At 37.7% G+C, this 23246-nt stretch overlaps 1 protein-coding gene across 11 annotated transcripts in view; it reads right to left on the minus strand.

Annotated features, from left to right (window-relative positions):
- The window catches only part of MORC1 (MORC family CW-type zinc finger 1), a 159887-nt gene that overhangs the window by 62796 nt on the left and 73845 nt on the right, over positions 1-23246 (minus strand). For all 11 annotated transcript variants that reach the window (NM_014429.4, XM_005247362.3, XM_047447968.1 and 8 more), the window contains 3 exons: positions 14297-14425; positions 11677-11782; positions 6708-6846 (listed from right to left, as the gene is read on the minus strand). In NM_014429.4, coding sequence (NP_055244.3) covers positions 6708-6846; positions 11677-11782; positions 14297-14425 — 374 coding nt within the window. The remainder of the gene's footprint in view (positions 1-6707; positions 6847-11676; positions 11783-14296; positions 14426-23246) is intronic.

The following is a 23246-nucleotide window of genomic DNA, read 5'->3' on the forward strand; positions in this document are numbered from 1 at the left end:
TGGGCTGGTGCCCAGAGGGTACAGGCGTGGAGGCACAGACTTCCTTGACAGGGGAGCAGCGAGCAGCCTGCTGCGGAAGGAAGCCAAAGACTTGTATCTTACTCTGAGCACAGTCAGGGAACAGGCCCTGAGGTGTACCCCAGACGCCAGACAGCCTCTGATAGTCCCTGATTAACATGCACACTAACTGGGGACTGGTTGTACCTAGAGTTTAGATGCTTAAGGAGTTTTTGTAGGGTAGAGATCAAATAGGTGTATTTGCATTAAAACCCAAATCAGTATTCCCTGCAGTGAAAATCATTTCAGGCAACACATCTGAACCTCTACTCCTCTCTCCATCTCTGCTGATGTGAACAGGAATCACTGACTAGCATGCAAACAGAGGGATGTAATGTGGCAAGACTGCCTGCAACTGTCAAAGCTATTGCTGTCCTTCTGGGAGGAAAAATGTGTTCCCTCTGGACTCAAACTCCTCTTGGCCTTTGACGACAGCATTTGGTCACTTCTGTGAAACCCAGGAGTAGACAACAATGGATGGCATTCCTCAGTGTCAACCCCATGGCAAAATAAAGTTGCTTATGAAGCCAGGAGCTGAGAATATCCTGAGTTCCCTGCACCATGCTATGCCACAATGCCAGGCTGTTCTGATGCCCTTTAATCATTAGTGCTGTCCGGGTCTGTTTAGTAAACCACAAATGCTGTTCCATCAGGAAGTATGATGTCAGCTTCTCCAAAAAGGATGAGTAAGAAAATAATTTGGAGAAGCAGTGCAAGTTAAGGAGTTGAACTCCTGTTAGACATCTACTGTGCCCAGCATTGCACCAGGTGTGGTAGTAGGAGGTACACAGAAGAAAGCAACAGATGATACCTGCCTTCAAAGGACTTGTACACTAGTTAATCATAAGGCAATTTGTTTAATGTCTCATTTGGTATGCCATGAACACAGGGCATAGGACCCACAAGTGTGAATATATCATGCATTATCCCTCTTCGAAAAGCAATACATCACCATAGAGAAATGAGATCTTTGTAGTAAGAGTAATAAAGTAAAATATTTCATCTACAATAACTAGAATAGCCTCTTGTTAGACAAGGGCCTTTAGGTGTCACAAATTTTAGATCATGACAGTTTATATAAGGAGGCTGAAAAGCACTCTTGAAGAATAAATATATTTTCTATGGCATCTGTCACTATAGTTATAGAGATTTGAAACCTCAGCAGCCTACACAATAATGACACATTAAAAAGATTAAGTTCTACATGGAAAAATGCATTCACATTCTTCATACAAAGCTGTACTCAGATACGCCATTCAATCTGAAAAACACAGCTAAAAGTTCGGCAAGCCTTCTTTGTTATGCATTTACTGCTAAAACAATCAATGTGGGAATTGCCAGATTATACTATTTCATTTCTGTCTGTATGTGTGTCCACATGAGCACTGAAGAAGAACAGAATTCTATTGCTGGAGTTTCTTCTCACCAGGCATGAAGTCTTATAAATGCTATATATTTGATGGGATGACTATGAACATGACGAATGAAATCCAAATGCAGTCTCTGTACTCCAATCCAAATACAACAGTTTATTGTGACCAGGTATAAGAACATTTTGGTCTTCAGTAATATATGCAGAAGTTGGTCAGCCTAACCTATGTAGAGTCAACCAATCCAATCAAATATAAAATATTCACCTTTCAGGAATTCTGCATAAATCAAATTATTCTTTCCATCCTTCATTGTTTGCTAAATACCTATTACATGAAAGCTGCAGGCCTAGGTACTATTGGGAATGCAAAGATGAAGAGAAATAGTCCTTTATTTCAAAAAGCATATAGTCTGATATGGCAGACAGATGAGACACATAAGTAACTATAATATTAGACATAAAGTGACTATAATACCAGGTAGAAGTAAAACATGCTCTAAGAAAAACCACATGGGACAAAGGGAACTGGAAGGAAGAAGGTACTTTTCTAAGTAGGTAAATGAAAGATACTTTTCTAAGTAGGTAAATGAAGGAGATACTTTTCCAAGTAGGTAAATGAAATGAAGGAGATACTTTTCTAAGTAGGTAAATCATACAGGGATTGGCAATAGTTTTGGATCTTGAAGGACTGGAGAAGGACCAGAGGCTGCTCCAGACAAGAATGCACAAACAAAGGCCTGCAGAGCCACATGGAAGTGAACACTTGTAAGAAATATGGAGAAGCTCAGTAGCAGCACCATACAGAGTGAAAGAAACGAATGCTATTATATTAATAGAAAGGCAACTAGTGTCAGATTATAGACAGCCTGGGCTGTAGGCCAAGAAATGTATAGTAAATACAAAAGATTAATTCAGAAAGACCTAGGGGACACATAAGCAATTCATCACACATTGCAGAAATATATTGATTATGCAAATACACTACTCATTAACATTACTTAGGTATAAAGGGGTAAATATAGGGTAGCTTAATTCAGGGAGAAAGGTATGATCTGTCTTTTAATGATTGAGGGTATTAAGTGGATTTTAGATGGTACCATAAAATCCTGAATAAAGTGTAACTAAAACTAGATTCTGTGTGCATGATAATGACACAATCATCCTTGTCACACAATAGAAGGTAGAAGAGAAATTTTAAGTTAAATCTGAGAAAGAGGCAAATTTGAGAACGGAGAGGTCCTGAAATACAGAGAAATTTATTTTATAACATTATGGTTTTTAAATTATTGCCTAGGTTTACCAAAAAATAACAATTATCCAGCTAATATGCCAATTACAACTGAGCAATCCAGTGAAACAATAGAAATAAAAGCTTCATCACTTGGCCAGCAGGTGGCACTTGTCACTCGGTATAGAAAACAGCAGGTAATGTGGAATGAAGCTGAAAGTAGTTAGAAACAGATTACTTATTCATCTATTCAAAAGGATAAAGATGGGGATGGGTTGTATTCAGAAGCACAATTTATAACAAGGATCTTGGCTTGTTGACATAGCTTATCAATTACATGGAGGACAACCCCTTTAGTCTATAAAATGCACCACAGGTGACAGATCTTGAATTTGAGCTCTCCTATTAGGTTTACTGAACTTAGGTATTTCCCTTAACAAATATGATTTGCAATATATAAGTTTGTTGCTACTGTAAATGTTCTTATGTCCTTTTTGTCTGTATTTTTCCTATAAGACTGCGAGAAATATGGTGCTGGAATTGGGCAAAAAGGAAATAAATTCCAACTTCACCATTTAAAGTTACGTGCTTTGATTAAAATTATTTTTAACTTTTTTGGATTTCACTTTCCTCTTTGTTAAAATAGATATAACTAGCTGGAATGTTGTAGGAATTAAATAAGATACCATGTGGAAACGATACCTTTAGATCTAGCTACTTCATTTTCTCCTATGGGACAACATCTAATAATTAGGATAACTCTCTTACCATCTAATCATTAGATACCCATAGAACCTAAAATCCAGAAAGATTTTTGATTTACCTGGTCAACCTTTCATTTTCCAGATCAAGATGCCTGCTACCATTAAAGCTGAAATGCAAGAGAGTTAAGAGATAGGGTGTGCAGGTTTAGGTCATTTTTATATTCACTACACAGGTCTGGTCAATGGATAAGTGGTCATTGGGAGTGGGATGGAGGAAGAGAAAACAGGAGGTGGGCAAATAATAATTACATGGCATATATTGTATGATTCTGTGATACTGAATGGGTGAATGGACACCAAAAATAGACATACAGTGAATCATAGTAATAAACTAGCCAGTTCTTGATTTTTTCAGTGATGTCTAGCCTATATTTGAAACTGAATGGGGCCAATGATGGCCTGTTTTTCTAGCTTTCCCATCCTTTCTTATCTCACATTCCAAAACTACTTCTAAAGGGTTTTAGAATGAGGACAGGAAATTTACACTGAACATTGCATGGTTTTTAGTCTTAGTTTTGACATCAGATAAATATCACCAAAACATAGTTTCTGAACATGTTCATGGATTATTTTTGTGAAAGGAGGAATCAAGGTCATCTTTCAGAGGTCTTCTGTTCAGTAATTACCATATTATAACTATATGGGAGTTGCATCATTGTAACAAGTCACACCATTTTTAAAAGAGAGATGCCACACAAATACTGAGTTTAATTTTTAAAATATGAAAGCTTAACATGTAATTTAAGTGACTGGTTCCATGAAAGAACAAATCAGTGTTCAGCTCCAAGTGTTCCTTTAGGTTGTTTTTCTCACCTGAAATGCCCTATCCTTTTCCCTCTATTTATCCTAAATAGACTTCAAGATACAAGTATCACTTCCCCTATATAACTTTCTTTGGTTTCTTTTTCTTTTTTCTTTTTTTTTTTTTTTTTTTTTTTTTTGAGACAGAGTCTCATCTTTCCCCCAGGCTGGAATGCAGTGGCGTGGGCTCACTGCAACTTCTGCCTCCCAGGTTCAAAGGATTCTCCCACCTCAGCCTCTGAAGTAGCTGGGATTACAGGCGTGAGCCACCACACCCAGCTAATTTTTTGTATTTTCTGTAGAGATGATGTTTCACCATGTTGGCCAGGCTGGTCTCAAACTCCTGACCTCAAGTGATCTGCCCATCTCAGCCTCCCAAAGTGCTGGGATTACAGGTGTGAGCCACCATGCCCAACACCCCTATATAACTTTCTTTGATTGAAGCTGCCCTCACTATCTCCTGCAGTAAACTTCTATTGCAGTGTCAGTTACAATAAGAAAACACATGTGAATTAATATTACTTTATAGTGGTTGCTCATTTTTAAATAGCTGTTAGACTTGATCCACAAAAAGACTGTATAATATCTGACGGCATGTTTTACTTATTGATTCAACTACCTATTGAGTACCTGGTATATGCCAGGCACTGTTTTGGTTAATACAGATTCACAGTAAGTAAAACCAACACTACCCCTGCTCTCACAGAACTTACATTTTGGTATTACAGATACTCTGTATTTCCCATAATTCCCAGCCTGGGACAGACCTGAGGGCAAGTATGTGCTCAATGATCACCTCAAAATTAACTGGTTGCCTTTGGTTCAGTGAACCACAACCCAAAGCTTTCCTTGGTTACCACAAAAGCAGGGTCAGTTACAAGCCCTGAGTACCAGAAAGTATGTAAAAGATGTTAGGAATCTTTTCACAAAAAGATTTTGTAAAATCTTCCTTTTGCAAAAGGAAAAAGGAGGATGGAGTGGATTCTTATGTCCTTTGAAGTACTGGCAGTGAATTTCTATATAAGTACTGCTAAATTTCTTTGTTTACATTTGAAACAAACTGGATCTATAACCTTGGCTTAAATCTTATGAAAAAAAATCAACTACCAACAAAAAAGAATAAACAGAACTGTTGGCCCAAATCTGCTATTCCACCAGCTGCCATCAGATTCTCTACCTCAATGATGAACACAACATCCAATTCTAAACAAACAACAAGCTAATTAAGTCTTGATGATTGGCATTATTAGTATACTGGGGTTGGCTATCACTGCTATAGAAAAGAAAAACAATGTCCAGAGATGGCAATAAAGATGCAATCAATTCATAATGTGCTGAATGCCTTCACAAAGCTACCAAGTGTGGTAAATAAGAAACAAAATTAAAATATTTCATAACAAAAAGATCTGAATGTACCTAATTATTTATTAAAAGTCTGTGAAACCTTTATTTCTGACTTTTGTCTGACAAGAAACCATGACTAAAGGCCTTAAAAACTGTAGAAAGTTGAGCTACTTTTTGGAGGTGGGGAGTGCTTAGGAGAATGTGTTTCCAAAGTGACTCTCAGTATCTTTCCAAGAGAGACCCTAAGACTCCAGGGTAAAAAGGAAAGCTCTGGTTTCTTTGGTTGTAATCTCAGGTGGTATCTGACTTGCACTGCAGAACCCTAGCAAGCTAAGTGAGGTAAAAGAGTAATCTTCTATGAGCCCAGGAAAACACTTACTATAAGCTGCTACAGCTGGGGAGCTTAAATCCCACTTCATCATTGAATTTTCTATTTTAATAAGCATTTTATTTCCTGACATCTATAGAAGTGTCCACACATTTGGACATATGCTACAACTGCTATTTGAGGAAGCCAACAGGCTTCACATTTAAAAAATGATGAATTTATGTGCTAAATCTATAGAGGTTTAATTATTAGTCAAGAAAATAAAATAATTTTTCTACATGCCACATTTTCTTACACTCGAAATTGTCATGGTTACCTATGTTGATTGATAGTAATGTTTTATTTATTGAATTTTCTTAACAATTAAATATGCTTTGACTTTCTAAGTTAATAGGTTAATGTTTTTTAAAAGAACTCTTTACCTTAAAACCCTCCCTCAGGGAAGAATGAAATAAAAACAGCCTAACCTTTGGAGTTACACAAATTTGTGTTGCGCCTTGACCACATGACCTTGGACATGCTGACTGACTCTATAAGGTTCTATGTGCAGCTGTGGAGTAGAAATAAATGTCCCTATTTCTCACATGCATTGTCGTATAGATGGGCTTAGATATCACATATACAGTATTTTTTTTTTTTTTACAAAACTCACCCTCTAGAACAGGTCTTAGATCCAAAATTAAAAGATGTCAAAAAGGACAGGAAAAAGATTATACACATTTTATTGTGTAAACCACTTTAGTCAATTTGCACATATGAAACCAACAGTTAAAGAGTCACAGTAGAATTAGGGAGGAATTAATCACAACTCACCTGTGGCTGCTGTTCTGCCAGTCTATTTTGATACTTTATGACCGACTCTCTAAGTTGCTTCTCTTTCTCATTTTTTGATGGTGATATTGTGCTCATGGTGCCCAGTGGGATGGAAGGTAGACATTCTACCTGATGACAACTTCAGAATCAACAAGTACAAGATTAACATCAGGAGAAATATAAAACTACTTACTGTCTGTAAAAGACGATTTACTTCTACAAGGAGTTACTCTTTATGTCATATATCCAAAATTCAAATAGGAAGGAAAAGCATTGTATCCGTGGCTTTCGATAACAAATAACCTTACATCTCCAATTTGCATGGAAAACAGCCTAATAAAAAATGTGGACAGTACCATATATTAACGAGGATGGGAAAGCATCAATTATATTGCTAATGCTTCACTTATTCTACATTATCATAAAATGAGGCCTTTTGCAAAAATTATTTTAGATCACTGAGCTTATCTCATCACTGCCATTTCCCCCCCCAAAAAAGGTAGCGAAATATATATGTCTCTTTAAAATATAGCAAATAATTATGCCTCTGAAACATATGGATTATCTGTTTAATAACCCCAGGATCACTGTGAAGACCCGTGACTACCCGTGATGTGATGTAGGATTCAGCAATAGCCTTGGGAGGTAATGAGATGCGTTAAAGCCCCTTCCCCAAATCGCCCACTGGTCCTGATGGCAGCATCCTGCCCAAGTGCTCTGCTGTCGTAAGAGTATCTGCTTTCCAGCCTTACAGATATGCTGTTCTAATAACTTGTGGGTTAGTAAATACATAATAATGTAGGATGATTTGTAAATGAACAATAAACAGGCTATGGATGAGCACATTCCTTGTTAAAATTACAAAAAAATACTAATAACCCTCAAAGCATATGGTTTGGAAGGTTTGAGGCCATTTTTCCTTTTCTTACTTTTGTTTTTGTGGTTATGTACTGGGGAACTGAGTCAGCCAAACTGCTGAAAAAATAAGATATTATTTTGTTCACTTCGGTATCAAGGCTTGATACAGACAAGAAGTTCAGCTCCCACTGGGCATAGCTTTGATTCAGGGCATGGAGGGGAAGGAACACGCAGTAGTGTCGTAAGACGCTGAGGTCAGTTCTTCGAGCCCACTCTAGGTCACAGAGTTTTCTATTATTGATTAGGGGTAGGGAGGGGAGGAGTTCCACTGAGCTACCAAAAAGAGGAGGGACAAAGTCCACAGAAAATACATGGGTGTTAGGCCAGGCAAGGGAGGAGGAGGCTGAGGATCGAGAGAGGACTTTCTCCCATCTGAAACAGTGAGGGAAAAGGGAGGCAGATGAGACCCATCACTTCTCTGTTCTTCAGGGCTGCAGCATATATTTTTCTCGCCCCATACCAACAGAGAAGAGTTAGGAACTACAATCAAATTCAGGTACTACTGTGAAAAAACACTTAATTCCACCCACATATGGTGTTTGTTATTATCGTTATTTTCAAAGAAAGGTGTTAGGTAAACAAATTCTAGGGACAACTTCTATATATACAGCAACCCACAGTGTTGATTTGAAGACATCTGTGGGGTGGCATCTATACAGGCTTCTACTTCATTTCAGAAAAGAACCTGTGACAACATTAAGTTTTTATTCAGAAGGAAGAAACCTCAAGCATTTTATTAGAATGCAATTCATTCAACTGTCTTCATTTAAAGATGTTTGGAAATGAATTACACTTTAATATGCAATACAATCCATAAATATTTTTTAACATCCTTTTCAAAATTCAGACATTTTTGGTTCAGCCAAGTAATAGGCATCATTTTTTCTCTGCTGGTAATCCCTATTTTCAATGCAGATAAGTGCATGGTATGAATGTAATGGAAGCAAACTGATGGCTATTTCTCAGATACTGTGTCAAAAATGTATAGCCTCCCTCTGTGCTTGAAGTGGAAAACAAAACCAGGCTCCAGTGGTTTGAAAAAAGAATGGCTCCACCTTACCCTCTCCGGGTATTACTGAATACTACCATTTGTAAGATGTATTTTGTCCACTAAAAAGTATCTGAATGAAACTAGGCTTCCTGAAATGGAGAAGGATGCCTTCCAACAGACAATGTGATAAGGCAGGAAGAGTACAGGTTTTGCATCAGAAACTTGGCTTCCAGTTTCAGCTGTAGTGAAGAATTCTGGGCAAGTCACTAATCCTTTCTTAGCCTCTCTATTTTCTTCTCTGAGAAATGGGGAAAGTTCATAGGCCTTTTATAAAAATGGAATGAGCATATATAATTGCAAAGTAAGAGAAAGTTATTACTATGTTTCCAGCCCAAGTTCTAGTTACACATTGTTCATTCAAATGCTGTCTGTTGGTAATGGCCTTGCTGACAATTGGCAAATAACTACTGACAAGAAACCGTATTTTCTGTAAATATAGACAATGACACTTTTCACCCCATTACTCCGTCCTGCTACTCACAGACTATTCCCTAATAAATAATTATACTTGTCATCACTTTAATACACTTATTTTAAGTGATTCTATCCAAGTCCAATGGCACATATGTCAGGGGTTTTGCCTAGCAATAATGTATTTTGAAGCATATTCTCAAGGTATAGATGGCCCATCCTACCATTTTGAATCAAAGAACTGAGCAAGGTCATCAGAACAATTTCTTCCCCCTCCCTGGGAATCATCATATCTACATCACTGTTAAGGAGCTCCCATGAAGGAAGTGCCAAATCTCAATTAACTGCCCTTTTAATCAATTTTGCTTTACATCTCCCCTAAATTTCTTGCTGCCACTTTAAGCATATTTTTGTCACAATCTTTTCAGTGAAAATAAAACACAGATGGTTAATATCATGTCAGTATATTTAAAGAATCAAGGACTTAAGAAAATTATAAATATAAGAAAACTTTTTTGCACTTTAGACCTTTAAGGTCCATCAGTTTTCTGTCAACATGGCTAAATTTATCTAGCCACTCATCACAAGTGGCACTGTTTTTACGTGTAAAAGAGACAGAATTAAATCAATAAGATCTTGTATTTGATAGCGCAAGGTGACTACAATCAGCAATAGCTTATTATACATTTTATAACTAAAAGTATTATTTGAAACATTCTAACACAAAGAAATGATAAATGCTTGAAGTGATGAATACCTCTATTTACCCCGATGTGATTATTACATACTATATGCCTTATCAAAGTATCTCATATACTCACAAATATATATACATATCATGTACTCATACAAATTAAAAATTAAATTTTTAAAGAGAGACAGAATTAATACAGCTTTGAAACCAATTTTACAATGCTCTGAGGTGGTACTGTTACTTTTCAGAAGGGGGTGAGTCTGTGCCAATGCAGGGACAACAGTAAGTTGAAGGTAAGGGAAACTGCAGACGACAGCTTCCCAGTTCTGTAGGTCTGAGAGTGCCCAAGACTGGTCTAAGAAATCCTAGGGATAGGGTTACATCTGTGGGAAGTAGCCTAAATTCTGGGATCAAGGGCCTCTAGTGACCAGGGACTTTCAGCAGATTGTCCTAACTATGGGGCTTAGCTGGATCCAGAGAAGATGCATAAAGATCCTATAATTATACCACATTCCAGTGTATGGGAAGCTTAGTTAAAGGGAGGTTATGTAATTTCTGAGATTTCACAGCTAATAGAACCAGGAGTCAAACCCAGGCAGTCTGTCTCCAGAGTCTGAACTCTAAATACAATCCTAGACTATATGAAAGTTCTTAGTTCATGGTAAGTTCATATGATTAACTATTCTTAATATTGAAACTGAGCCAACACTTTGTTCCTATTTGGGAGATATTTAAGTCCCAAGTTGGGGATGAACGCAGGTTAGGAAACAGAAGATCTTGGCCAGTGGCTTCATACATAGGTTTCTTAGCCTGGATTTGCGTTTTAATTCTCATTTTTCCAAAATAAAGAAGAATAGAACAGTGTTTTATAATCACGGTCCCTGGAGCTCTAGGCTTTCTGCAGAGTAGGGAACAGAAATAAAAAGTGGATACCTTAGGTTCCCAGCCTCTAATTCAATCAGGACAGTTTTGCATTTATCTACTTATTTTTGGGTTCTGTGACAAGTTTTTATTTGGGAAAAACAAGGTTGCATTGCAAAACAAGAAAGGGATACGAAAAAACCTGGGCCATGAGAAATCTAAGACCCTTTGCCACCTCTGACATTTTTCTTCAGTCTCTAAATATAAATAACCTGAGGACTCTAGATGAAAGGGGTTTTAGCAGCAGTTTCCAAATGTTTTCTTTTTCTTTTATCTTTTTGCTCTTCTTTTTCAGAGCTAGATAAAAAAATAACCAAACAGGAGTTATTACCCTAATGTCTATATTAAAAATATTGATTCACGTATCCAGCTCAAAGGACTTAGAACAGACTGCATGGAAAAGCAATGCTTGACTTAGGGGTGCTTTTGTTAAAGGGGAATACTAACCATTTTCCCTATGGGGGAAAATATTAGTCTAAAAGGGCTTGTAATAACATTGACATCCTTCAATATTTAATCAGTCTTTTTCCTGTTTTAGTCTGAACTTTTTCCTCCAAGAGTGTAAAGCAATGAAATCAATATATGATTTAAGCAGAAAAAGCATACGGTCTAACAGTTTAATGCCCCTGGAGACACTCTCTGAGTAACACTCCTGTACAATAAGGACATATGTTGTATGAAAATGAACTGGAAGGAAGAACTCTTAAGTACCAGGTTGTGGTCTCCCATGGGTGGAAGTGCAGAGCTGCTCACCCCAACGTCTTCAGATAGTTACACCCAGATTTCTATTACTTGATGGAAAAGCACGCCAATGAAATAATCTTTGCACAGGTAGCAGGGCATTAGAAAGAGTTTGAAGAGATACCAGATACTAAGCTAAAATCTATATTATAGATTGACATTTTCAAGGTTCATACATATGAACTTTAGAAATTAAAAATGAATAAAGAATTTTAGAAAATAATCAAAAATACCTGTTTTCCAAGCGGTTGGGATTATTAGCACAAATCCAAATGTCAAAAAATTCTTTTTCCTGATAATTAGTAGAGGAAGGCAAGACTCTCCATTTAAGACAAAGATCTGACAATCAAAACAAAATGACACAGAAAAGAGATCAGAAATGAATCTATCATAGTAAGATGTCAGTTTGCACATATCAAAAGTATGAGGTATCTCTCAATCCAAAGACAACTGAATCCTTCATCATATACCATTATTCTTGATGACACATCTATTCTAGGGTTCTATGAGCTACTTCAAGACCCCACCAACAAGTTATTATTATTATTATCTCAGTTCCCTCCAGTTAGTTTCTGCTACTTTCAGCCAAAAGAACCTTAAATAATACATCCACTTCACCTCTTCTAAAACCAAATTAATAATTTCAGTGACTTGACTCTCCCATTTTCTCTGACCTACTACCTGTCTGCTGACAATACCACTTTCTGTCTCCAACTACATGATTAACATAAGAAGGAAAACCATGATCTCAACTAGTATAAAATTAAACTGAAAGAAAGAAAGAAGGAAAGCAAGAAAGGAGGAAGGAAGGAAGGAAGGAAGGAAGGAAGGAAGGAAGGAAGGAAGGAAGGAAGGAAGGGAAGTTAGTTTTTTGAACCATATACACATTTTCTTCTGTACTTTCTTCTGTTCTTATTCCCCTCTCCAGTCTATAGTTTCTGATTTCTTCACCCACTTTCCAAAACAGTCCTTCCTTGCCTTTAGGACGAAGGCACACTTCCCTCTCCAGGCTACACTTACATTTAATCCTGAATTCCCTCCAGACACACTGCTAACGGCTCGTAGGTTAACACTTGTCCCTTTCATCTAAGGCAGAGAGAGTCAGTACACACAAAGGTTAAGAACTTGAACAGCTCCACCTCTTACCACCTCTATGATCTTGGACAAATTATTTAACTGCTTATATTTCAGTATCATTATCTATTAAAAGATTAATATTATATTAGTACTTATCTAAAAGTTACTGAGAATGAAATGACATCCTCCTCCTCATCATCATCATAAAAACCAACACTGCTAGACACTATCCTTAGCACTTAGTAAACTTTATTAATTCACATTATTCTCAAAACTCTATAATGTAGCTACAAGTACTAATCTCATTTCATAAAAGAAGAAACTGAGACTTAAAGAAGTTAAACAATTTGCCCAATTTTGTATAGCTCTTGAGTACTGGAGATTGGATTCTAACAGTACCTGGTACAAATCAAAATCACAGTAACTGTTATCCATTATTATTAGCATGTGACAGGCTGTCACATACTGTCATCAATTTCCTCAATTATACCTTCTAAGTAACTGTCTTTTAACTCTCACTGCCACACCTTCATTCAGACATTTATAATTCGTCACCTGGATCCTAGATTACAACAATAGTCTCCTGTTCTAGCCCTTCACCAAGTCATCCTTCACTGAGCTGCCAGAACAACTTTAACTACAAGTTACCTCTGACCAGTCAGGTCTTCCTTGGAATACTCCTAGGCAAAAGGCTGCGGAGGTGCTCCCCGAGAGCTGTATAAATACTTCTACAGAGTTTTACACACTATAGGCTGCTTTTTTGTTTGCTCGTCTGTTTTTCTCTACTGAGCTGTTAGTTACAGATATTAGAGACTGTCTTTAACTCCCTGCCCCTTTGTGTAGTGGCTAGAAAACATATCAGTAAGTGCTGAATGTAATTATCCTCCTATGGAAAAAATTCCAATACCTCCTGCTTGCTTATCAAAGTAAAACCTTATCCTGACATTCAAGAATCTCTAACACCTTTACCCAACCTAATACTTTTGTCTTATTATTTATTCATTGTTCAGTGATTCAGTTGTCAGTTACTAAATTCCTACTATGTATTAAATAGTGTTACATATTAAAAATAGAAAGATGGCTCTTTCTATTACTATTTCACAAACATTTTAGCTGAAGTGTACACCTGATATTAATTCACATTTCTCTACTCTTCATCTCTGCCTATCAAAATTCTATTTTAATTAATTAATTTATTTTTTTGAGACAGGGACTCACTGTGTTGCCCAGGGTGGAGTGCAGAGGCACAATCACAGCTCACCACAGCCTCAACCTCCCAGGCTCAAGCGATCCTCCCACTTCAGCCTCTCAAGTAGCTGCGACCACAGGTGTGCACTATCATGCCTGGCTAATTTTTGTATTTTTTGTAGGGGTGGGGTTTTGCCATGTTGCATAGGCTGGTATCAAACTCCTGAGCTCAAGCAATCTACCCACCTCAGCCTCCCTAAGTGCTAGGATTATAGGCATGAGCCACCATGCCTGGCCTGAAACTAGTTTAAAGACTATCACAAATGCTACTCCATCATAGAATCTTGCCTCTACTCCCCCATCCTTTTCTTTGAACCCTCAAATAATTATTTGTCTCTAGTATATCACTTACCTTATTTTTCCCTGTATTACAATTATTTTCACACTTATAACTTTCTTCCAGACTGTAAACTCCTGGAAAGCAAGATGTCTTACCTTTGTCTCCCTCATCCCTCATTTCTTAACACAATGACTTGCATATTTAAGAGCCCTTAACATTTGGTAATTATAATGGACTTCAACACTCACCACATTGTATGATGAATGGGATACCCATGGCTTGTCTTCTTTGATATTGAAAAGAATTTAAAGGTTTCTCCACATCGATGTCATTCTGGTATCCAAATTCATTGCAAAACAATGTTAAATTTCTATTATCTTTTAAAAAAAAAAGCAGGCAAAGAATAACAAAAAAAAATCATTAAAATCAAAACAATTGGCAAAGGGAAGTTTGTATATACAATATGATCTCAACTGTGTAAGTATTAATACATATACAGAAATAAGAGATTAAAATATCAATATTGGTTGTCTCTGAATAGTGATATGATGAGTGAAAACTATTTTCTGCTTTAGTCTTTTTACATTTTCCAAATTATATGCAGTAAATCTGCAATATCTTTATAATAAAAATAAATAGCATGTATTTTAAAAGTTATGTGTTTATGCAATAAAACATATTGACATTTAAAGCATTGTTCTTAAGCATTCCCAGGAAAGACTGTACTGATTAAACTTTAAAGGGCACTCTTAAAATTATTGATAGAAATATTTATCTTTCTTATCTCACAGACAGAGGTGGGGTTTTTAATCTTTATTTTATCTCTGGTTCCTTTTCTCTCCAGTCTTTATTGTTTATGCACTATCCTATCCCCAAATTGTGTATTTCCTCCTTGCTTGAAAACACTACTCATCATGGAGGACTGTTAGAGAGTCGTTTTGTTCTTATTCTTTGATCCAGCAATTATACTGTTAGGAATTATCCTTACACACATACATAAGTTGCCATGTATATTATAGCATTGCTCGACTAGTAAAAAGTTGGAGATAATGTAAAAGCATATGAATAAAGAACTGACAAATTCTGTTCCCCAAAAATGGAACAGTGGGAAACCTTTAAAACGGAGGAAGTAGAGCTAAATGTAGTGTTGCATCAAGATCTCCAAGTTAAAGTTTTAATTTTTTAAAAATATATATATATCAAAGAGTATCCCTAGTGTAATCACTTTATGTAATGTATGAAAAGCCTGTCCATATAAAATTGCGATGCACATTTTCCTGAATGGATACAAAAGAAAGTTTTAACAGTGGATATCTTTAGAGCAGAAAGAGAGGTGGAGAGGAAGGCAAGGGAAAATACTTTTACTTTTCACTTTTTATTTTTCTTAGCACTTTGAGTATCTGTACATGTGCATATAAAATTTAAAGAAAAAAAAAGAATCCATGTTTGACTGTTTTGTCCAATATGATAACCACTAACCATGGTACCAGCCTTACAACAACCTTAACATACGGCTATGTAATCCATGAAAAATGCAAATAAATGACCTAACACTTTATTATTCCTGTTAAAATTTTGGCTCAGGGTGCTATGGGGCTTAGAGATCAGCAGAGAAAGAACTCAGCTTTCAAAAGGGTCTTCACAGTTGGGCTGGGCTAAGCAGACCTCACAAATTCTCAGGTCTGCCCTCTTGTCTCTTCACAAAATCCCCAGCTGCTCTTGCTCCAAATTTTCCTTTGGATTTGGCTTTTGGGGCTTTTAATTCAGACTTTCAGTTTCTTCTCTTGGCCCAGTATTTGGTTTTTGTGGAGAATCAAGCAATTCCATCTTAAATACTAATCTGCCGTGTTGACTTATGATTAACCCCTGTTCTGGAAATGCCTCTAAAATTTCTACTTTATCTACTGTTACTGTAAATCCTTCCCTTAGGTCAAAACAACCCTTGACCATAAAACCTGGAATTAGGTAGATTCACATTGCATTCTTACAATTCACTGAGGGGTTGACTTCAATTGTCCTACACATTCTTTCCCTACGGTTTTTAAGTCCTGGGTCTGGGGGTTAATGGCACAGGGATCCACCATTCTTATCTCACCACAGCCTAAGACATAGCTTTTGTTCCTAAGACCCTATTAAATGTTTCTTTCTAAGAAACTGGATTTGTCAGCCTCTTTCTTCGGCCTCTCAGCTTCCTTAGCCTTTGAGGGTAGCGTCACATGGACTTGTTAACAGTGGAACTGTCTTGGTTCATCTCATACTCTTCTTCTCTGTACACCAGCTCCTGATGTACTACTCCCTGGTATCTAGAAGGGTTGATGAGGTTTTGCTTCTCTGATTTCTTTCTATGTGTTTGTGTGTTTTTAATTATACTTTAAGTTCTAGGGTACATGTGCACAACGTGCAGGTTTGTTACGTAGGCATACATGTGCCATGTTGGTTTGCTGCACCCATCAACTCGTCGTTTACATTAGGTATTTCTCCTAATACTATCTCTCTCCCAGCTCCCCCACCCCCTGACAGGCCCTGGTGTGTTATGTTCCCCTCCCTGTGTCCAAGTGTTCTCATTGTTCAATTCCCACCTATGAGTGAGAACATGAGGTGTTTGGTTTTCTGTCCTTGTTATAGTTTGCTCAGAATGATAGTTTCTGGCTTCATCCATGTCCCTGCAAAGGATATGAACTCATCCTTTTTTATGGCAGCATAGTATTCCATGGTGTATATGCGCCACATTTTCTTTATCTAGTCTATCATTGATGGACATTTGGGTTGGTTCCAAGTCTTTGCTATTGTGAATAGTTCCTCAGTAAACATACATGTGCATGTGTCTTTATAGCAGCATGATTTCTAATCCTTTGGGTATATACCCAGTAATGGGATTGCTGGGTCAAATGGTATTTCTAGCCCTAGATCCTTGAGGAATTGCCACACTGTCTTCCACAATGGTTGAACTAATTTACACTCCCACCAACAGTGTAAAAGCATTCCTATTTCTCCACATCCTCTCCAGTGTGTGTTGTTTCATGACTTTTTAATGATCACCATTTTAACTGGTATGAGATGGTATCTCACTGTGGTTCTGATTTGCATTTCTCTGATGAGCAGTGATGATGAGCATTTTTTCATTTGTCTGTTGTCTGCATAAATGTCTTCTTTTGAGAAATGTCTGTTCATATCCTTTGCCCACTTGTTGATGGGGTTTTTTTTTTTTGTAAATTTGTTTAAATTCTTTGTAGATTCTGATATTAGTCCTTTGCCAGATGGGTAGATTGCAAACATTTTCTCCCATTCTGCAGGTTGCCTGTTCACTCTGATGGTAGTTTCTTTTGCTGTGCTGAAGCTCTTCAGTTTAATTAGATCCCATTTGTCTATTTTGGCTTTTGTTGCCATTGCTTTTTGTGTTTTAGTCATGAAGCCTTTGTCCATGCCTATGTCCTGAATGGTATTGCCTAGGTTTTCTTCTAGGGTTTTTATGGTTTTAGGTCTTACGTTTAAGTCTTTAATCCATCTTGAGTTAATTTTTGTAAAGGGTGTAAGGAAGGGATCCACTTTCGGCTTTCTTCATATGGCTAGCCAGTTTTCCCAGCACTATTTATTAAATAGGGAATCCTTTCCCCATTTCTTGTTTTTGTCAGGTTTGTCAAAGACCAGATGGTTGCAGATGTGTGGTGTTATTTCTGAGGACTCTGTTCTGTTCCATTGGTCTATATATCTGTTTTGGTACCAGTACCATGCTGTTTTGGTTACTGTAGCCTTGTAGTATAGTTTGAAGTCAGGTAGCGCGATGCCTCCAGCTTTGTTCTTTTTGCTTAGGATTGTCTTGGCTATACAGGCTCTTTTTTTGTTAAGACAGAGTCTCACTCCTTCACTCAGGCTGAAGTGCAGTGGTGTGATCTTGGCTCACTGCAACCTCTGCCTCCTGGGTTCAAGCAATTCTCATGACTCAGCCTCCTGAATAGCTGGGATTACAGGTGTGAAGCATAATGCCTGGCTAATTTTTGTATTTTTAGTAGAGATGGACTTCACCATGTTGGCCAGGTTGGTCTTGAACTCCTGACCTGAAGTGATCCACCCGCCTCAGCCTCCCAAAGTGCTAGGATTACAGGCGTGAGCCACCGTGCCCCGCCTGCTTCTCTGATTTCTACATTAACTATTTAGTATTTACTATATCAAAGCAGAGGGTGCTGTAGATTAAAAGAAACATGGATTTGAGTGCTGGTTCTGTTACATATTAGTTGTATAGTTGTGGGCAAGCCACTAAACTTTCTCATCTATCAAGTGAGTGACTGCAGTAACCTGCCTTGCAAATTTATCACAAAGAATAAATGTGAAGGCACACTAAAAACTATAAAACTTGGAGGATTCTGGGAAGAAGATAGAGTAGGAAGCATCAGAAGTCTGTTTCACCACCTAGACAAAAACTGCACTGGCAGAATCTCATGTAACTATTTGGGAACTCTGGAGTCTACTGAAGGCTTACAACTTTCAGGGGAAGGGATGGATATTAAATTGCAGTTAATTTCCGTCATTTCAGCTCTCAGCCAGTAGTAGCTACCCATCCTACACTCCATGTTCCCGGAAGATCTTTCACACAGCTTGCTGAAATTAGGGTGGGGAGAAAAAAAGACCCTGTCCTCCAAATAATGGGGACTCCTGCTCTGATCACTGATTACTGGCTATGATCACAGAAGTATAGATGAAGAGGTGAAGGCCATTTTTGTTATGCCTCTCCCTCATGGTTGCAAGCCCCTCCCCTTCTAGCTGGAGTGAATTCCAGGGGATTTAAGGGACTGGTGTCTTTTTTTTACCTCCTTTCATTTATCTCCTTTTCACCTTATGGAAACCAGACATTGAAGACTAGTGCATCCAAAAGCTGCTACATGTAGAGAGGAAATTAGGAAGTCACTGCACGTGTCCAGGCAAAGGCACAGGCTCAGGCTCAGAAAAACCCAAGAAAACCTTAAGTGTATAGCTCAGGCTGATCTGCACAGAGAGAGCCTACAACAATTTAAACAACAACAACAACAAAAAACAGTAAGTCTTAGAGAAGGAAGAGACTCTGATTTCCGGAAATACAACACTGTTAGATTCAAATGTCCAGTTTTCGGCAAAAAAAGAAATCACAAGTCATACGTAGAAACAGGAAAGTATGGCACATTCCAAGCAAAAGAATGAATCAACAGAAATTGTGCCTGAAAAACACCTGATGGCAGATCTACCAGACAAAGACCTTAAAATGACTGTCTCAAAGACACTCAAAGAACTGAAAGAAAGAAAGAAAGAAAGAAAGAAAGAAAGAAAGAAAGAAAGAAAGAGAAGGAAGGAAGGAAGGAAGGAAGGAAAGAAAGAAAGAAAGAAAGAAAGAAAGAAAGAAAGAAAGAAAGAAAGAAAGAAAGAAAGGAAAGAAAAGAAAGGAAGGAAGGAAGAAAGAAACAAAGAAATAAAGAAAGAAAAAAGAAGGCCAGGCACAGTGGCTCATGCCTGTAATCCCAGCACTGTGGGAAGCTGAGGCAGGTGGATTACCTGGGGTCAGGAGTTTGAGATCAGCCTGATCAACATGGTGAAACCCCATCTCTACTAAAAATACAAAAATTAGCCAGGTGTGGTGGCACACACCTGTAATCCCAACTACCTGGGTGGCTGAGGCATGAGAATCTCTTGAAACTGGGAGGCAGAGGTTGCAGTGAGCACAGATTGTGCCACTGCACTCCAGACTGGCTGACAGAGTAAAACTCTGTGTCAAAAAAAAAAAAAAAAAAAAAGAAAGAAAGAAATGTGAAAAAGTCAAGAAAATGATGTATGAACAAAATGTAAATATCATAAAGAAATATAGAACTTAAAAAGAAAATAGAAATTATGGAGCTGAAAAAATACTGTAACTGAAATTTAAAAATCACTAGAGGGATACAGAGTCAGATTTGAGAAAGCAGAAGAGAAGAGCCACCAGGTGTGGTGGCTCACGCCTGTAATCCCAGCACTTTGGGAGGCCAAGGTGGGTGGATCACAAGGTCCAGAGATCAAGACCATCCTGGCCAACATGGTGAAACCCCGTCTCTACTAAAAATACAAAAAAATAGCCAGGCGTGGTGGCGGGCGCCTGTAGTCCCAGCTACTCAGGAGGCTGAAGCAGGAAAATGGCGTGAATCTGGGAGGCAGAGCTTGCAGTGAGCCGAGATCGCGCCACTGCACTCCAGCCTGGGCGACAGACAAAGACTCCATCTCAAAAAAAAAGAAAAAAAAGAGAAAGCAGAAGAGAAAATCTGAACACAGAAGTGAACTTTAATACAGAATAATGAAAACTAAGTCTAATGAACAACAACAAAAAAATATTGAATAAAAGTGGCCAGGCACAGTGGCTCACACCTGTAATTCTAGCACTTTGGGAGGCCGAGGTGGGCGGATCACCTGAGATCAGGAGTTCAAGACCAGCCTGGCCAACATGGTAAACCCCATCTCTACTAAAAATGCAAAAAAATTAGCCCGGGCGCCATGGCTCAAGCCTGTAATCCCAGCACTTTCAGAGGCCAAGGCGGGCAGCTCATGAGGTCAAGAGATCAAGACCAACCTGGCTAACATGGCGAAACCACGTCTCTACTAAAAATACAAAAGTTAGCTGGGTGTGGTGGCGCATACCTGTAGTCCCAGCGACTCAGGAGGCTGAGGCAGGAGAATTGCTTGAACCAGAAGGCGGAGGTTGCAATGAGCTGAGATCGTGCCATTGCACTCCAGCCTGGTGACAGACTAAGACTCTATCTCAAAGCATGAGAATTGTTTGAACCCAGGAGGTAGAGGTTGCAGTGAGCCGAGATTGTGCCACTACACTCCAGCCTGGGCAACAGAGTGAGACTCCATCTCAAAAAAAAAAAAATTGAATAAAAGTGAACAGAGCCTAAGAACTAGACATCATCAAGTAAGCCATTATACACCTTATGGAAACCCTAGAAGAAATGAGAGAAAGAAAGGGAGAGACTATTCAAATAAACTGCAATGAGATACCACTTTATACTCATTAGAATCCTACTCATTAGGATTAGGATTATTTTGTGGGAAAGAACCCAGTCGGTGGGAAGTAAAATGGTGTGGCCACTGTGGAAAAGAATATGGTAGTTCCTCAAAAAATTAAAAATAGAATTACCATGTGATCTGGCAATTCCACTGCTGGGTATATACACAAAAGAACTTAAAGCAGGGTCTCAATTTTCAAAAGAAGACATATAAGTGGCCAACACGTATATATTTTTTAAATGCTCCATGTGACTAAGCACCTGGGAAATACAAATTAAAACCACAGGGAGATATCACCTCATACCTGTTAGAATGACTATTACCAAAGACATGAAAGGTAAGTGTTGGCAAGGATGCGGATAGAAACAAACCCTAACACTGGTGGCAAGAGTATGAATTAGTGTAGCCATTATGAAAAATAATATGGAGTTTCCTTCAAAAATTAAAAATAGAACTACTATATGATCCAGCATGTCCTCTTCTGTATATTTATCCAAAGGAAATGAAATCAGTATGTTAAAGAGATACCTGCACACCCATATTCATTGCAGCACTATTTATAAATAGCTAAGATATGGGATCAATCTACATGTCCATCAATAGATAAAGGGTTTCAGAACATGTGGTACCTATACAATGGAATACTATTTAGCCTTTTAAAAGAAGGAAATGTCATTTGCAAAGCCATGAATGAACCTGGTGAACATTACGTTAAGTGAAATAAGCCAGGCACTGAAAGACAAATACTGTATATTTCATTTATATGTGAAATCTTAAAAAGTCAAACTCATAGAAGCACAGAGTAGAATGATGGTTACCAGAGGCTGGGGGAGGGGGTTGGGGAGATGTTGGTAAAAGGATACACAATTTTAGTTAGGCAGGATAAATAAGTTCAGAAGATCTATTGTACATCATTGTGACTATAATTAATAACAATATGTTATGTACTTGAAAATTGCTTTTAAAAAACACAGGGCCTTGAAGAGAAATGTGTATACCCATCTTCATAGTAACATTATTCACAATAGCTAAAACATGGAAGCAACTCAAGTGTCTATCCACAGATGAATGGATAAGCAAAATGTGGCAAAATGTGGGGGGGGGGGGGTGTGTATAACAGAATATTATTCAGCCTTAAAAATGAAGGGAATTTGACATATGCTATAACATGGATGAACTTTGAGGACATTATGCTAAGTGAAATAAGCCAGTCAGAAAAGGATAAATACTGTATTGTTCCACTTACATGAGGTACTTAGAGTAGTCAAAATCATAGAGACAGAAAGTAGAATGGTGGTTGTCAGAGGATGGAAAAGCGGGGAATTGGGAGCTATTGTTTCATGGGTATAGCATTTTAGTTGTGCAAGATGAAAAGAGTTTTAGAGATGGATGGTAGTGACAGTTGTACAGCATTTAAATGTCCTTAACATTACTCAACTGTACACTTAAAAGTGGTTAAGATGGTAAATTTCATGTTATATGTATTTCATCATAATGAAAAAAAAAGAAAAAAAACACAAAAGAGCCCTGCAGAAATTTAAGTTTGCTGTTGTCACGTATTTTTCCTCTTTAAAAGTTACTTCTCCATGAGCACTGCACTTTTCCAAAGGAGGAAGTGTGCTTTATAATTCTGCATGTCTTCAACTTGTAGGTCGGCATCCTGCACCTAACAAGCCCTCAACCAACGTTGCTGCTATTCTTGACAAAATGCCTCATTAATATGTTGTCTGAAATAAAATGAAAGTGGAATAATGTCTCTTCCAAAAAACATTAACCAAAATATTTCTATCCACCTATAAAAAGAGCCATGCAGATAACCCCAAATTCATTAACTCCAAAATTATAAATTATTTTAACATCCTCAAGATAGGTCGATTAAAAAATTCAGTTTACTACTACAAAGAGTAGATGGCTGAAAGCACACAGCTAATTTTCAAAATTATAAAAGAGTACATATCTTAAGACTTTTGTATGAAGAACCAATAAGCTCATTAAATTAATAGGATAATCCGGGATTAATGCACACAGAATTAAATTCTCAATTTCTAGAAGAAGTATCTGTGAGAAAAAAACTGAAAGGTTAATTTACTGCCAGCTATGTATGGAATACTTTATTCAGTAGATTCCTAATATTTAAATTAATCTAATGAATTGTTCAGGAGCCTCTTTAAACCAAGCACCTGGGGAAAAAAAAAA

The sequence above is a fragment of the Homo sapiens genome, chromosome 3 (genome assembly GCF_000001405.40).
Source record: "Homo sapiens chromosome 3, GRCh38.p14 Primary Assembly".
Classification (NCBI taxonomy): Eukaryota; Metazoa; Chordata; class Mammalia; order Primates; family Hominidae; genus Homo; species Homo sapiens.